Below are 17,771 nucleotides of genomic sequence, written 5' to 3'. Positions count from 1 at the left end.
TCCAGAGTAATGCATTTCATCATTATAGAAGTGAATTATGAGTCAATTCAAGTCTTTTTCAAAGGGCAAGTACCACGGTTTTTAACCTTTGAATCCTCAGTGCCTGGCATATAATAGGCTTCTATAAATGTTTGTTGAATTCATCCACCCATCTATCTATCCATCTAATCAACAAATATTTATTGAGCAACTACTTTGTGTCAGGCACTGTCATGGGCTTCAAGGACACAGTAGTGAATAAAACAACTAACATTTCCCTACCTGCATAACACTTACAATCTAGTGGATGAATGAACAAAGTCAACAAGTTTGTGTTTCAAACAATGAATTTGGAGGGAATTTGTAAGCTTTATATGCTACATAAAATAAGGGGTGATTGTCACAAAGAAGTAGCAACACCACTTATGTGGTGGCGTTGACTATGTGCTGTTCACTGTTCTAATACAATATAATAGCAATTTGATTCTCACCATAACCCTGGAGCAGGACGAGCCACAGACAAAACCTCTCAGACACTGAGTTGTAGAAGGAAGGGCTTTATTCAGCTGGGAGCATCGGCAAGCTACTGCCTCAAAATCCGAGCTCCCTGAATGCACAATTTCTGTCCCTTTTAAGGGCTCACAACACTAAAGATTTCACATGAAAGGGTCGTGATTGATTTGAGTAAGCAGGCGGTATGTGACAGGGGCTGCATGCACAGGTGGTCAGACAGAAACAGAACAGGGCAGGGAGTTTCATAATGTTCTTCTATACAATGTCTGGAATCTATGAATAACATCGGTTTCTAAGTTATGAGTTGATTTTTAACTACTGGCTTTAGGCCAGGCAGGCCCAAGCCAGGTTTCGGGCCTGGCGCCGGGCTGCCTGTCTTTGGTTTTACTTCCTTGTTGTTTTTTCTTAAAACAGGTACTGAGTATAAAACAATATAAGACAATATGAGAGGGTCTGTCTCTCTTCTGTCAACCCTATTAGGTGGGAGTTATTATTATTATCTCTGTTTTGTAGATGAGAAAACTGAGGCACAGAGAGGTTAAGTAACTTGTCCAGAATCACACAGCTAGCAGGTGGTAAAGCCAGAATCTGAACCCAGGCAAGCGGCCGCAATGCTTATGATCTTGACTGCGATGCTATGGTCCTTCTAAATGTACAGCGGATATGAATTTGGCATGAGTTGGATTTTGTGCTCTGAGATCTGGCTGCCACAGCTTTTATTCATTGGGTCCATTCTTCTTGGTGCATGCCTGAGAAATTTGGGTTGGCCACAAGCTAGCCAGCCCATTACAGTGGATACAAGAACAGTTTTTCAGGACCCACTCTGTCATCTGTCTGTCCCCATAGGGCTGTCCTCAGTCTGGGTGGCTCATGACCTCATGCCCTTGAAGCTGGCCTTCCCGGAGTACATTCCTTCTATCCCTCTTGATGCCTTTCTCCTAGGTAACTGTGTGGGAATCTGCACCCACCCCTGGCAGCCCCTGAGCAACCTCTTGGCTGTGGCAAGGGCTTGACAGTCAGGAACCTGGCTCCCCAAGCTCAGAGCCACTGCTTCCCATGTGTTTTAATTTCAGGTCTTTATAATAGAGGTTGCCCCTTCAACGATTAGGAGAGACACAAGATAGAAATAAAGGTTTTATTACTTACAGGTCTTGGGAAGTTCACGGCATGCCTAGAGCCCCTCCTCCACAACAGAGAGGGAATGATCAGGGGGTGCACAAAGAAAGAGAAAGTGGGGGGCCCCCTATGCATCAGGGCTTTTATTGAAGCCCAGGGCATTATCCATGCACATTTCCCATAGGGAATTTTAATTGGTGGGTTTAAATGCAAAAGAGCAAGCAGGCATGAGTTCCAGGAGGTCATGCTGTGACTGAGAGGGGGTCACTGTGGCATATCTGCAGTCTGTGTAGGGGGTGAAAGTTAGCGGGCTGAATAGGTTGTCTCTAGCTGTCCCGTGGGGAGGTGAGCACCAGGGAGCAGCTGTGTATGACATTGAAGGACGGCGGGGAGGTGTAGCAGGAGAGACTGTGTCAAGGATAACTGAGCCCTGCTTCTGGTGTGAGAAAAGTAAGCTTATATTTAAAATGGATGCCGAGGGTGGGTCACTTGAGGTCAGGAGTTCGAGACCAGCCTGGGCAACATGGTGAAACCCTGTGTCTACTAAAAATACAAAAATTAGCCAGGCATGGTGACGGGCACCTGTAATCCCAGCTACTCGGGAGGCTGAGGCAGGAGAATCACTTGAACCCAGGAAATGGAGGTTGCAGTGAGCCAAGATTGCACCACTGCACTCTAGCCTGGGTGACAGAGCGAGACTCCATCTCAACAAACAAACAAACAAACAAAAACAAAACCAACAACAAAAACCAAAATGGATCCTGAGGCAGCATAAATTATAAGAATTCACTACATTGTGCCCAGCCCCGTCAGCATCCCCATTGTGGGGCAGAGAGGGAGGTAGGCAGTGAGTGACTGGGGTTTGGTCACATTTACCCCCTGACCCTGGTGAGCTGTGAATTTCTTTGCAAAGGGCAGACCACCCAAGGCTGGTCTCAGTATCTTTGGCTCAGAAGCTGGAAGTACCCCCAAGCAGAAACCAGGAGCGAGGCCTCAGGAGCTGGAGAAATGCACCAAGGACCCTCAGAAATCCAAGAACCTAGGCTGCTAGAATGTTCTGCTAATCAGAAAGCTGGTAAGACTTGGTGTGCCTCACTCACGGCTCTACCCAACCTACTGCTTAGACCGGGGCCATGCACACAACAGGCCCTCTCAAAATACCTGCTGAATGAAAAGGCTGAAAAGTAGATCCTATCTAGTCCAATCTTCTTCTTTTCCAGGAAGGAGAAACTGAAATCTAGCAAGGAGAAGTGACTCGGCTAAGCTAGCATTTGTAGACAATAAATAGGAGAACCAGAGAACCAGGCCAGGCCACCGCTGTGCGCTTTAAAAGCATGGTTCTTTCCATGGCACCAGGTGGTGGCCCCAGGCGGTGGAGGTCGGCGGGATGCCTCTCCTGCTGGCATCCATGTTCAAAGTCCCTGTCCCCACCCTTGATCTCCAGGAACATCTGCTGATTCGCAGCCTAAATGAATAGTGGGAAGGCAGAGAGGAGCCAGTTCACCTTTGCGGTTAGAAGGGCTTTCATGAGAGGAGGGGAAAGAAGAGTGGAAAAGGGGGAATAACAGCAGCAGTAATAGTAACAGCTATGATATTTTTGGGGACCTACTTCTAGCCAAGTCCTGCAAATAAACAAAGCAAATAAGGGGAACTTTCTTTTTCTTTCTTTCTTTTTTTTTTTAGACAGTCTTGCTCTGTCACCCAGGCTACAGTGCAGTGGCGTGATCTCAGCTCACTGCAACCTCCACCTCCAGGGTTCAAGCAATTCTCCTGCCTCAGCCTCCCAAGTAGCTGGGATTACAGGCACCTGCCACCAGGCACGGCTAATTTTTTTTGTATTTTTAGTAGAGATGGGGTTTCACCGTGTTGGCCACGATGGTCTCGATCTCCTGACATCAAGTGATCTGCCCACCTCGGCCTCCCAAAGTACTAGGATTACAGGTGTGAGCCACCATGCCTGGCCTGGAAACTTTCTAAATAGATTTTTAAAAAATATATAAGTGGGTCCAGGAACCCCAGACATGACCTCAGCTGTCTAGTGCTCTGCGTAGCAGTGGCTAGCAAAGCTCCCACTGCCTGAATCATGGGCTGTCCATGGTCCTGGGGCACACAGCCACAGCACAAGCTGGTGGCCCTGGAAAGCCTCCCGTGAAAGGGAGCACCTGACCTGTACAGCCACACCACATGCAACTAAGTAGCTTCCTCTCATACTCCAAACCAGGTGGATAAGTGAGAGCTACCTCCCAGCACTGTAAACCACCCATGGGAACCTCCCACCAACTCACCTCCATGACACCCAGGGTTAAAGCTGATAAGGTCTCTGTCAGCCTGGTCTTTGAATGATTTAGAGGAGGAGAGTGCCCCGGTCTATAGTTAATTGAAATGTGATGAAAGGGTCTCCTTAGCATGGCACACAGCAGACATTCAGCACATGGGAGTTCCCTTTCTGCCCCTACTCCCCAAACCAAAGTCTACTTCCAAGAAAGATGATGGCCTTGCATCTTCTTCTCCCAGGGAATTAGCAATTTAATTGAAGAGTCTTAGAAATCATAGCCCAAAGCCTCAAAGAAATGCATTTCAAAGATAATTAGGGAATATAATAAAAACCACTGAATGGTACACTTAAGAAAAATTGAAATGTCTTGACATTTTTCTGCTGATATATGAAAGAATCTGAATAAAAGTTTTCCCCAGTTTGCTAACAATTCTTGTTGCTGGAAAGGGGTCTTGATCCAGACTCCAAAAGAGGGTTCTTGGATATCGCACAAGAAAGAACTTGGGGCGAGTCCATAGAGTAAAATGAAAGCAAATTTATTGAGTAAGTAAAGAAACAAAAGAGTGGCTACTCCATTGGCAGAGCAGCCCCAAGGGCTGCTGGTTGGCTATTTTTGTGGTTATTTCATGGTCATATGCTAAACAAGGGGTGGATTATTCATGAGTTTTCCAGGAAAGGGGCAGGCAATTCATGGAACTGAGGGTCCTTTTTTAGATCATATAGGCTAACTTCCCGATGTTGCCAAGGCATTTGTAAACTGTCATGGCGCTGGTGGGAGTGTCTTTTGGCATGCTAATGCATTATAATTAGTGTATAACGAGCAGTAAGGACAACCAGAGGTCATTTTCCTAATCATCTTGGAGATGGTTTTGGGTGACTTCTTTACCGTATCCTGTTTTGTTAGCAGAGTGTTTATGAACTATCTTGTGCTGACCTCCTATGTCATTCTGTGGCTAAGAATGCCTAATCTCTGGGGATTGCAACCCAGCAGGTCTCAGCCTCATTTTCACAGCCCCTATTCTAGATGGAGTCACTCTGGTTCAGATGCTTCTGACATTCTGAAGGTGTGGATGATAATACTGATAATAAATTGTGAAGCTGAAAGGAACTTCTCTAAACTATCAATGATAAAAAAAAAAAACCCCACCAAAATTTGACTAAAAAAAGGTAATTAGGAGAGATGCTTAGGGACAGACAAGCTTTCAGAAGGGAGGGCCCTCAAGACTCCAGAAATGGAAGAGCTTCACTTACTTCAAAGTGACAAGAGCTTTCTGAGTTAGCCACCTTTTCTGGAGAAGGGCAAACTTGGGATGAGGCAGGTGTATTAGTTCATTCTCACACTGCTATAAAGAACTATCTGAGACTGGGTAATTTAAAAAGAAAAGTGGTTTAGTTGACTCACAGTTCCACAGGCTGTACAGGAGGCATGGCTGGGGAGGCCTCAGGAAACATACAATCATAGCAGAAGGGCAAAGGGGAAGCAAGCATGTATTCACATGGCAGTAGAAGAGAGAGAGTGAAGGGGGATGTGCTACACACTTTTAAACAACCAGATCTTGTGAGAACTCACTCACTATCATGAGAACAGCATGGTGGAAATCCAATCTTATGATCCAGTCACCTCCCTCCAGGTCCCTCCTGCAACATGTAGGGATTACAATTCGACATGAGATTTGGGTGGGGACACAGAGCCAAACTATATCAGCAGGGTGTTAGAGAAGATGTACCATCCAGCCAGGATGGATGTAAAGGCAGGTTCAGTTGCTGTATCTTTTTTCAGAAGAAGGTGGGCTGTCCTCCGCTTCTCTCTGTGGCAGGGCAGGGCTGGACTCTTGTACAGGGAGATTGAGGTCCATGGAGATGCTTGAGAAGTGCCTGGACAGAATGCCCTGACCTGCCTTTGTCAGCCTCACGGAGGTCAGTTACATCCCTGTATGTGCCTGGCGTGAAGGCTGGGGACAGAGAGAAGGGAGCAGGGAGGCAGTTATTTGGGAGCTTGAGTTGTGGAGGGGCAGTGGTGACTTCTGGCACCAGGATAAAGGAATGGGGTCTGTTTCTATGGTAGAGTTTTGTTGTTTTGTTACTATCTTGACCAGGAAGAGGAGGAGGAGGAGGAGGAAGAGGAAGAGAGCAATGATAATTTCCCTTAGTGAATGCCCACTAGATGGAGTGAGAAGAAACTCTGGAATGCTTGAGATGAACACTTTTATCACTGGTGGGATGGGGACTTGGAGTAAATTAAATTTGATTTTAGAAAAGTGCTGTGATGTTTCCTTGTGTTGGGGTAAAACTGACATCACTACAGATACATCTACCAGCATATTTAAGTATAATACAATCATACTGTATCTATACCCTTAAAAAAATGATATAGCCAAAACCCTTTTATCTGATGCTGTCACTGCTGGTTAATTTTAAAGAGCAGGTTAAGAGAGTAGTTATAAAAATTATATATGCATACTTTAAACATTTTATTCTAATTTATGATATATAAACACATATTATTCTGACTTTTTTTCTACTTTTTATTATGGAAAATATTAAACATATACAAAAATTAGGCAGAATAGTATAATAAACCCTCATGGGCCCATCATTCAGCTTCAAAAATTACCAAATCACAGCCAAGTTTGTTTCATCTGTATCTGCCCTCCCACTGTTATCACTTTTATTTTTGAGGTGGTGTTCCACTCTTGTCACCCAGGCTAGAGGGCAGTGGTGTGATCTTGGCTCACTGCAACCTCCGCTTCCCAGGTTCAAGCGATTCTCCTGCCTCAGCCTCCCAAATAGCAGGGATTACAGGTGTGCACCACCACGCCCAGCTAATTTTGTATTTTTTTAGTAAAGATGGGGTTTCACCATGTTGGTCAGGCTGGTCTTGAACTCCTGACCTCAAGTGATCCCACCTTGGCCTCTCAAAGTGCTGGGATTACAGGTGTGAGCCACCTCACCTGGCCTGCATTATTACTTTGAAGCCAATCTCAGATGTAATTTTACTCATTCCCTAATATTTCAGCCTGCATCTCTAAAAGGTAAAAATTCAAACAAATGAACGTAATAACAATATTATTGCACCTACAAAATCCATCTTTAAGCTCATAGGTATCTGTGGATGAACTTTTAATGTGATATTAAGGCTCTTCTTTTATGAGGATGCATCAGCTAATTGGAGTCCCATATTACTGTCAGTCAAAACCATACCTGTAATGAGTAATGCGTAATCTACAATTTGTGGTTTACGTTTCTTTCCCGAAGTTGGAATGAGAATTTAAAGATATTTTGCAAGATATCTGAGAGTAGAAACCTCCCCAGATCACTCCTGCCTGCCGTCTTTCACAGTCACCTCACATCTATTTTAACATCATTTTGGTTTTTGGTAAAAACTCACTTATGTTGAGTATTTTCAAAGCATTTCCCTTAGCTTTCAGAGAACTGACTCTTATTTTGTACTCATGCTCAATTAGTTCTTTCGTAGTATTTAGTTATGAATAAAAAATAACAAATGCAACTTGAGTAACCAGGCCTGGCGACAAACACAATTGCTCCTGCTAAGCCCCCTACTCAACTTGTAGGAGAAGGGTCCTGGAATGCCAGAGAGTAGGCCATGTTCATCACGTGGTGTATTTTCTGTAGGGACTAAGCATCACACGATGTGGTAAGTCTGTTAAGTGAAGACCCATTAAGTGAGCATCTTCTGGGTATTTTGGAGATCTTTCTGTTAGGACAAATGGATCCACATTATTCTCTTAACAGACTGTACCACGTCCATTATATAGACATATGTTTCTTACTGGTAGATATACAAATTGTTCCTAGTTTTTGTCTGTCTACTTTGCTTTTTTGCTAATATATACAATGCATCAATGAGCTTTCTTATTCATATGACTTAGTGTACTTTAACCAGTATAGGACACATTTATTAGTGTGGAATTGTTGGGTTAAACAAAAGATACATGTATTTAAAATTATTATTGATATTACCAAATCGTTCTCCAAAAGTGTTACACTAATGTATACTCCCACCAACAGTATTTGAAGGTGTGTATGGTACACACACTTATCAACTCTTACCAAACGTTTTCATCATTACCAGTCTGATAAATAAAAAGTGGCATCTTCCTGTTGCTTTTATTTTAATGTGCTTAATTATTACAAACTTTAGGATTTTTCATTTGCTTAATGAGTATCTGCATTTTCTGTTCTATGAACTGTGAGTTCATAGCCTCTGCTCTGCTTGTCTTTTTGAATAGATTTCTGGAACTCTTTTTAATTTAGCAATATTTGCCCTCTGCCTTTCTACGTGTGACATGCATGAACGATGCGGCTGAGATGGCTAACTGCTCATCAGAAATGTGTGCTCTGCATTCTGGTGTGTAGAATTGTCCCTGGGAAGAAGCATCTAGCGAGGGACTACATTTCTCAGCCCTGTTTAGGGTAGATATGGCTATGTGAATGAGTTCTAGCCAAGGGACTGTGCGTACAGATGACATATGCTACTGCCAAGCCTAGCCCATGGGAACTTCCCACCAACTCGCCTCCATGACACCCGGGGTTAGAGCTGGTAAGACCTGTCAGCCTGGTCTTTGAATGATTTAGAGGAGAGGGTTCCCTTTTCTGTGGTTAACTGAAACCACTTGACTTGAACCATCATACACTTTAGGTCTTTTTTTTTTTTAAATATAATAGTAGTTCCCCTATCCTAACTAGTACACAAAATACCCAAGAAGTAGTCTATTTAACTTATATGCTAAATATGTTTAGTATTCGTTTTTTGACCTTTTACATGCTATTTTTCTAAACCTACAGACTTACACAACTTTACATGGTCAATATTTTTAATGACTTTTGGGTTTTGTGTTATGCATACAGAGACTCTCTCTAGCCTAAGATTATTTTTAAAGTCATCTGTGTATCTTTCTGGAACTTTTAAGGTGTACGTTTTACGTTTAAATTTTTGCTTCATCTGTAATTTTGTTTTAGTATAAGGTGTGAAATGGGTTTCCAGCTTAGTTCTTTCCCAACCCCAATGGTTAAGCAGTTTTCCCATTTTATTTATTGAGTAATTTATTTATTGCTGATTTGAATTATACCTTTATGGTATACCCAATTCCAATATGCATTTGGGTTTATATCTGGACTCTCTCTTGTAAATCTGTCTGTGCCAAATTGCACTTTACCGAATTGTTTTGTTGTAGATTTACAATAAATACATTTAAATATCTGATGAGGAAGTCCATCTGCCCACTTTCATTTTTCTCCATCATTTTTCCTAGCTATTCTCATATATTTGCTTTTCCAGATAAACTTTAGAATAAGTTTGTATAGCCAAAAGAAATTATGCTGATACTTTAACAAGGATTGCTTTGAATAAGGAAAACCAAAATTTCTACAACACTGAAATTTTGTATTCAAGAATATGTCTTTTATTCAAGTGTGATTAAAATTCCTAAGTGGCAGTTTAAAGTTTTTTTTTTTTTTTTTTTTTTTTATAGAGATCCTGCACAGTTCTTGTGAAATTTATTCTTGGATGTGTTTTTCTTTTTCTTCATATTATAAATGGTACTTTTTCTTCCAGTATATTCTCTTAACTGGTGGTTGTTTATATAAGAAGAAGCCACCAAAGTCAATTATCTTTTTGTTTCTAAAGTTTTTTAGTTGATTTAGATATATAATCATATCATTTGTAAATCATATTAAATTTGCTTCCTCCTTTCTAATACATTTACCTCTTATTTTTCTCCTTATCTAATTGCATTGGCTTGCACTTCCAGAACAATGTTGCATGATAATGGTGGTGGTGCCTTCCTGTTCCTAAAGACCATTAGAGGAGTCCTAAGTCATCTGTTGCCTGCCATCAAACCCTCTCAGCGGAAGGAGGGGGAGTTTGCTATGAGAAGCCTCTTAGGAGAGCCAGTAACCCTCTTTAGAAGGTTCCTCCCTGGCCCTTCTCTTTACAATAGTGACTCTGGCCACCCCACACTTCCTGAGCCTCACCTGCTTATCTCCTGCCCATAACTCTATGCTATGTCATGCTATTCATTCACTGTCTGTTTCCCCGACTAGAATGTAAGCTCTTCCAGGGCAGGGATGTGGCCTTTTGTTCACTGCAGCTTCCCTCTAGCTTAGGGCCCTGCCTATCACACAGGAAACAAACACAGGAATCAAGATGTGTTCTAGGAGGTGACACAATCACAGATATCCTTAGGTGACCTCCTACAACGCATGTTCTTTCTGATAACCGCCTCATATTTTCACAGCACTTCCTGTTAACAAAGCCGTTTCATATACACTGTCTTGCTTTCCCTTCTTCATAAAAGCCCTGCAAAGATTTCCTTTTTCATTGTCATTTCACAGATATGGAAAAGGCGGTTCAGAGAGGTTCAGCAACTGGCTCAAGATTGCCCAGCTAATAAATGCAGAGCAGGATGATGTCGTAGTCTTCTGGTTCTTTCTGTTGGGCTGTGCTGCTTTTCACTGACCACCCTTAAGATCTTCCATCTTGATAATAAAATGTGACTTTTTTAGTTGCTAGCTGAAGGGGAAGAGGAGAGTGAATGGGAGAATTTCATCCCCCTGAAGATGCGATTGATTTTGCCCCTGCCAGCAAAGAGTAGGACAGTGGGAAGGTGGGGCAGGGTTGGGGGTGGGGAGGGTAGCAGTGTGGGAGGAGCAGAATGTACAGTGGCCAGGGTGTTTCTCAGCTCTTTATCCAGATCCACAGGCCTTGGCTGTTGCTTCTTGGAACTGCTGGGAACAGTCACTCAACTTTGGTTTAGAGGCGGAGGCTAGATCTCTTGGTTGGTGACCCTGTGGAGGGTGACTCAGAGCCCTGGGGCCTTGGCCACTGGCTACTTGGTAGCCCTCCCTGAACACATCACTCCTTTCCAGCCACTTCGGGATGGCCCAAAGCACAGACCAAGAACACCCAGTCCTCAACCTCAGGGGTTCAGTTCTGAAGGGAGAGAAATAATTTAGTACCTACTGTGGTGCCAAGCCTGGTGCTTGGCCCCCTCACATGCATTCATTATTTCCTTTAATCTGCACTAGGACTCAAGAGTTAGAGATAATGACATCCATGAATTGACTCTCAGCAAGGTGGAGGGTCACAAGGTCCAACCACCACCAGTGTCACAGCTAGAATTCCAGCCCTGGGGACCCCCAGGCTAAAGCTTCTTCCACAGTGCCTAGAAGGTGACTTGGAGGAGGTGCTGTGAATGGCCCCTGGGGAAGGCAGGGAGGCCGGAGACCGCAGGCTCCAAGAGGGATGGGTAAACAGTTTGGCCTGGTGGTAAGGAGAGATGAGAGGGATTAAGCATAGGCTTTGCATTAAAAGGTAACTTCTGAGTCAGCAACACTGAAGGTCTTGTGTCCCTGAAGGCTGACCTTGGCGAAATAGTGATGTCAGTAACGTTTAGCTAGTGTTTCACCCCCTCCCAGAGCCCAGACTGAATTCTGATCCTGTTAGGCTTTGTATTCAGCTACAGGTCCACTCTTTGCTCCTTATCCCTTCTCTTATTCTCCCCTCACACCATGTCAGGTTCCCCCTCCTGTGTCTCTGTGATTATTGATGCTATGTAAGGGGTTCTCAGAGACCCCCAAAGCCTTCCTGGCTGTCTGCAGAGGAGTCATTAATGGGGAAATTCTGGTAGGAGGATCTCCCAGCACCCCTTATTGGCTCTATCTACTCCTGAGCCTACACTGGTGGTCCACAGGTTCAGGAAGACAGAGAGGCCTGTGGTGGCTTTTCCCATCCCTGGCCCTGGTACAAGGCCTTCCACTGTCATTGACTCCCCTCTAAACAAGCAAAGTAGAGCAGCAGCCCCATATGACAGCCTGCACTGGGCGACTCGATTTCACTATCGGAATGGAAAATCTTCAGGGGCTGGCCCCCACTCACCCACATCTCCATTAGTAGCTCCTTAAAATGCAATCCAATATCCTGGTGAATATCACTTTGAAACCAAATCTGGTGTCCCTCGCTTTGCCTTAATCCCTGTAAACCTCCTGCCGTGGCTCAAAGCTGACCCAGCACTGGCCTCCTGCGGCCAGACCCTAAAATGACTTGGCTTGGGTGGTAGGGGGAAAATGAACATGGCAGCTCATACTTACAGGCTGGACAAAAATGGACTAAATCTGAGGACACTGCCCTTTAGGAATCTGAGTTCCCTTCAACTGTAGGTGACAAGCAATCCACAAATAGGTACACCCTCAGCAAGCAAGAGCAATTCTTAGTCAAGAATAATACTGACATGGAAGGAGGGGCTGCCGAGTTGGAAGACGGGGTTATAAATTGCGTAACAAGATTGAGGAAGCCAGATCCCCTCAAACTTTCCCAAGGCCAAGCACATCATTAACTCCCTAATCCCAGCTGGTTTTATCCCAGCTCTTTCATCTGTGCCCAAAGAACAAGAGTGCCAGGTTGGCATGGCAGGGACCTATCAGATGGTCTCATCAAGGCAGCATGTAGCGCACTTGCACACATACACACACACACACACACACTCACGCACATGCACACACCCCCTGCCTCTCACTTCCGCAGTCAGCGCTCTTTTACTTCTAAGAGAAATTGACAACCTGAGAGGCTCAACGAGCTCAGCTAGCTCCATGAAGTTCCTCCAAAAGAGCAGGGTTCCAAAGATCTGGACACAGCGTCCCCAGTGACCTTCACAAATACTTAGCTCACTTCTGTTACCACCTTACACTCTGCCTAAGAATGTGAAATAGTGCTCTCTTCAGTCACCCCAACCTTCTGTCTGCTATTCAAGATCACTCTCCGGGTCTCCATTGCTTGGCAATTTCCCTCCTCTCCTTTACGTGTTTGTGTGCCGTCCCTCCCTCCCTCTCCCATTCTCTCATGCCCTCATTCTCTCTCTCTCCCTGACTGTCTTCCTCCCTCTCCCCTCTGTCCATCTCTCTCTACCTCTCTTTCTCCCCCTCCCTCATTCTGTCTCCCTGTCCTCCCTTCCCCACCTCTCCTCCCTCCTCCTCTCATATTTCTGCCCCTCTTTCTCTCCCCCAAGTCTCTCTTTCTCTTCTCTGTCTCTCCCTGTCCCTCTCCCCTCTCTCTTTCTGTCTCTCCCTCTGTCTCTCTCTCCCTGTCCCTCTCTCTCCCTATTGCTCTCTCCTCTCTCTTTCTGTTTCTCCCTGTGTCTCTCTCTTTCTCTGTCTCCCTGTTACTCTCTTTCTCCCTGTCTCTGCCAGTCTCCCTGTCTCCCCCTCATTCTCTCTGTCTCTCTGTTCCCCCTCTGTCCCCACTGCTCTTCGTATTTCTTCCCCCTTTTTCTTTCTCTCCCCTAGTCTGTCTCTCTTTTCTCTCTCTTCCTTTCTCTCTCCCTTCTCTCATTCTCTCCTCCCCTTCCTGTCTCATTCTTTCCCTCTTTCTCTCTCCCCCTCCCTCTCTCATTCTCCCCCTTCCTCTCTTCCCCTCCGTCTCTCATTCTTTCCCTCCCTTTCTTCCCCTTCCTCTCTCATTCTCTCCCTCCCTGTCTTCCCCTTCCTCTCTCATTCTCTCCCTCCCTCTCTCTCCCTTTCCTCTCTCATTCTCTCCCTCCCTCCCCCTTCCTCTCTCATTCTCTCCCTCTTTCTCTCTCCCCCTCCCTCTCTCATTCTCCCCCTTCCTCTCTTCCCCTCCCTCTCTCATTCTTTCCCTCCCTCTCTTCCCCTTCCTCTCTCATTCTCTCCCTCCCTCTCTCCCCCTTTCCTCTCTCATTCTCTCCCTCCCTCCCCCTTCCTCTCTCATTCTCTCCCTCCCCCTTCCTCTCTCATTCTCTCCCTCCCTCCGCCTTCCTCTCTCATTCTCTCCCTCCCTCTCTTCCTTTCCCTCTCTCATTCTCTCCCTCCCTGATTCTCTCCCTCCCTTTCCCCCTCCCTCTCTCATTTTCTCTTTCTCTCTCTCCTTTGCCTCTTTCTCTGTCTCTCTCATTGTCTTCTGCCTTCTATCCCCTCTTCTCAAGAAAGACCATTCTATATGTTTGTCTCATGCCTGTACAACATGACTCATCCCTCCAGGCTAAGCCCAGTTTGGTTTTTACTTTTTCCTGAGATCCCTTATGCCCAGACCTTTCTCTCAGAGTGCCAGAGGCATTTAAAAGATGACAATACCCTCCTTTTTTCCTGCTGTCATTTCTTTCTTTCTTTTCTTTTTCTTTTTGTCTTTTCTTTTCTTTTTTTTTTCTTTTTTAAGACAGTTTCGCTCTGTTGCCAGGCTGGAGTAGAGTGGCACGATCTCGGCTCACTGCAAACTCTGCCTCCTGGGTTCAAGCAATTCTCGAGCGTCAGCCTCCCGAGTAGCTGGGATTACAGGTGCGCCATCACGCCTGGCTAATTTTTGTATTTTTAGTAGAGTTAGGGTTTCACCATGTTGGCCAGGCTGGTCTCGAACTCTTGACCTCAAGTCATCCACCAGCCTTGGCTTCCCAAATTGCTAGGATTACAGGCATGAGCCACTGTGCCAGGCCTGTTGTTTCTTTAGTGCTTTGTTTTGTGGGCACTGATTCTTTCTCCCTAATGAGATTATAAACTCCATGAGGACATGTGTTTTTCTCTGTTATCCCCTGGGGTACCCACACCAGACTTGGCCATATGTAGGCCCTCAAGAAATACTGAATACTTAATTGAAGATTTTGGTTTCCTATTTCAAAAAATAACTCCTCATTGCTTAAAAAAAGCTAAAGAAAGTGAAGCAGAAGAATGTAATCAGGAAGCATTTGGATATTTTTCGCAAGATGTTCTAAGAGTGCTGCGTGTGTGTGTGTGTGTGTGTGTGTGTGTGTGTGTTGTGTGCATGGATATGCTTGCTCTCATAGGTATACATGTTACTTTGAATCCAAGACAAGATTAGGCTTATTAAGATGTTTGCTGACCACCTGCATATGGGTGCATCCACAGAATCCTTACACTGTCCTCATTTGAGATACTTTTTTTCCTTCGCACATTGTAACAAATCCACAGTCGTGTCAGGGAGCTGAGGCTGGAATGCCTAATGAGCTGTGGATGAAGAAATGATGTGATAGTATCTTCCAGATTGTAATTAACATGAGGGCCCTATAGTGCCCTATTAAAGCTGCATCTTCTTGCTGACACGTAATTCCCCAAAATAATCACTTGTCTTTCAACATCTTGATGAAAGGACTAATTGTGGAGAGCTTCTGCCTGGAAAGGCCACCCGGAGCAATTTGGGGACAATTACATGGGAACTGGTAGCTGCTGGGCACAATTACCTGGACTTGAATACGTGGTGAGTGAGATGGAGCGTGGGGAATGAGGCTTTGGCCAGGCATTCAGACAGCACCTGCCCAGGGCTGCCAGCTTCCTGGTGGAGTTTTTGCAGAACTAACATGTTGCTCTGGAGAAGAAGAATAAAGTTCTTATCAGGAATACTTGAAAGACTGGCAGAGTGTGGTGGCTCACACATGTAAGTTCAACACTTTGGGAGGCCAAAGCGGGCGGATCACTTGAGGTCAGGAGTTCGAGACCAGCCTGGCCAACATGGTGAAACCCTGTCTCTAGAAAAAATACAAAAAAATTTAGCAGGGTGTGGTGGCGCACACCTGTAATCCCAGCTACTTGGATGGCTGAGGCACGAGAATCACTCAAACCTGGGAGATGGAGGTTGCAGTGAGCCAAGGTCATGCCATTGCACTCCAGCCTGGGTGATGGAGTTAGACTCTGTCTCAAAAAAAAGAGAAATATTTAAACCATTTTTTCATAAATCATGCTAGTCATGATTAACTATAGAAAAGATAGAAAGTATAGGTAAACAATAAAACCACTACTAACATCTTGGTTAGTACAGTCACTATGATCACCACCACCACCACTATCATCATCATCAATCTTCAAAATTGCTACCATTTAGCTTATACCCGATTCCATGTACTTTGCTAGGCACCTTAAATATGTTACCTCTAGATCTAACACAATTTTGCAAGGTAGGTAACTATGGGCCCATTTTAGAGATGAGAAAACTGAGACTCAGAACTGTCCCAGCTCACCCAAAGCAATAGACATCAGAGATGGGGTTTCCATGCGGGTCTGTGTGTCTGAAGTTGGTGTACCTGCTACCATTCTTGTCTCTCCTCATCTTTAAGATGGAACAATGACCCTTACTCTCCTAGCTACCATGTAAGGCTGTTGTGAGAGTTGGATAAGATGCTGGATGCAAAAGCACTTTGCAGACTGCAAAGTCCTGTACAGATGCAAGGCTTGTAGGCAGTCCCTGGCATCCAGCCAGATACTGTACCCAGCTGCCACATAAGTGAGCAATATGGTATTTAATTGGGTCTCATTGAGACATGGAGCCTGGGAAGGTCTTTGCAGAGTCTGGGTAAAAGGAAGGAAGTGAAATGAGCACAACTAGGCACATGAGTCTGGACATCATGAGTTGAGGGGCAAGAGAATGACTGGACCACGTGGCAGGATTGATGGAACAGAAATTGTACTGGGCAGTGGAAACCCCCTGACAGTTCCCATTGGCCACACCAAGTGAGCACTTAGTCAAAACCAAAAGTGTGCCCAGTATGCAAATGCAGCCTCAAAGCTAGTTCCTTAGCCCCTCTTCCAACTAGATGGTCAACTTCTTACATAAAAATTCTAGAACCACTGCAGGTGCTGGGGAACAAGAGGGGCATGAGTTTGAACATGAGGGGTGAGCACAGTTAAGTGTCTGAGTGTGAGAAATGGGCTAGGCAACTTGGAACGAGGCTCCCTCTGTTCCTGTAGTCTGCCTCTCTGCCTCTCTCAGCTTTCTGTCTGCTTCTGTGTCTTCGTTGGTGTCGCTGTCTTTCTCCACCTCTCCTTCATTCTGACTTTTGAATTTAGAAAATATGTGGAATTCTAATATTGGGCCCCATTGTGTTTGGGAGAGCATTGGAGTCAGGAACTGGTCCTCATATTTAAAGGCATAAGTAAGGAGGACCCAGCATCCTAAATGTCTTCCCCAAATGCCAGCCAACTTCCCTGCCAGGCTTGGACGCTGAGCTCCACTCCCATGTCGGAGGTCCTGATGGCAACCTGGGAAATTAATTGAAGTTCTGTTGGGCAACTCTCTGCCAGGGCAACTCTCCAGCCCCCTGTGGCTTCTGGATTTGTCTTGGAAGAGGACCAAACCAGGAGTGGAGTTTGACCAAAAATAGGTGGAATTGACTCATAAGAGCTAACTCAGGCAGTCATTATCATCCAAAAAAGAAAAGAGATGGTGGGTGGAGAGGGAAATTGGAGAGCATCAATGAAGATGGACTTTGCCAGGAAGAACTTGTAGCCACAACTTGGGAGGTGGCAATGGTGGCTACGTGCCACTGCACATATCTTCTCCCTGGGGCCAAGGCAGAAACAGAGCCTGAACTTGAGCTTCACATCCATACACTGTGAAGGTGAATCCAAAAATGAAGGTAGCTCCCAGGCCCCCCAGTGTGGGCCACCTGGATCTGTCCTGGCATGCAGAAATAACCAGGCCTGGTGATATAATTGGGAACTCTTTATACCAACCAGGCATCTTGTACTTGGCTATGTGGCCCTGAGTCCAGTGAGCTGGGAGAAGTAGGGAGCCAATGATTGCTCATCTGTTCACTGTTGTGGTGGTGGCTTCCTTAAGAGAGGACACCAGATGGGCATGAACTTTCTTTCTCAGTGCTTTATTCTCTGTATGAAAGACTACATCTACCTTCCTTTTTGGAATGCTGCTAGGCTTAATAGAAAAAGGGGATGTTGACGCATGTTCTCACTCATAAGTGGGAGTTGAACAATGAGAACACATGGACACAGGGAGGGGAATATCACATACTGGGGCCTGTCAGGGGGTGGGGGGCTTGAGGAGGGAGAACATTAGGAGAAATACCTAATGTAGATGATGGGTTGATGGGTGTAGCAAACTACCATGGCAAGTGCA

General features: G+C 45.1%; 1 annotated feature.

Annotated features, from left to right (window-relative positions):
* Window positions 10,670-10,868: a silencer, noted in NCBI's record as "fragment chr10:79432857-79433055 (GRCh37/hg19 assembly coordinates)". NCBI's record gives its function as "represses an EF-1alpha promoter that drives an FKBP-Casp9 reporter gene in an ReSE screen in K562 erythroleukemia cells {active_cell/tissue: K562}" and the evidence as "EXISTENCE:reporter gene assay evidence [ECO:0000049][PMID:32094911]".

This window comes from Homo sapiens, chromosome 10 (genome assembly GCF_000001405.40).
Source record: "Homo sapiens chromosome 10, GRCh38.p14 Primary Assembly".
Lineage (NCBI taxonomy): Eukaryota > Metazoa > Chordata > Mammalia > Primates > Hominidae > Homo > Homo sapiens.
This window is presented reverse-complemented; position numbering and strand designations above follow the sequence as displayed.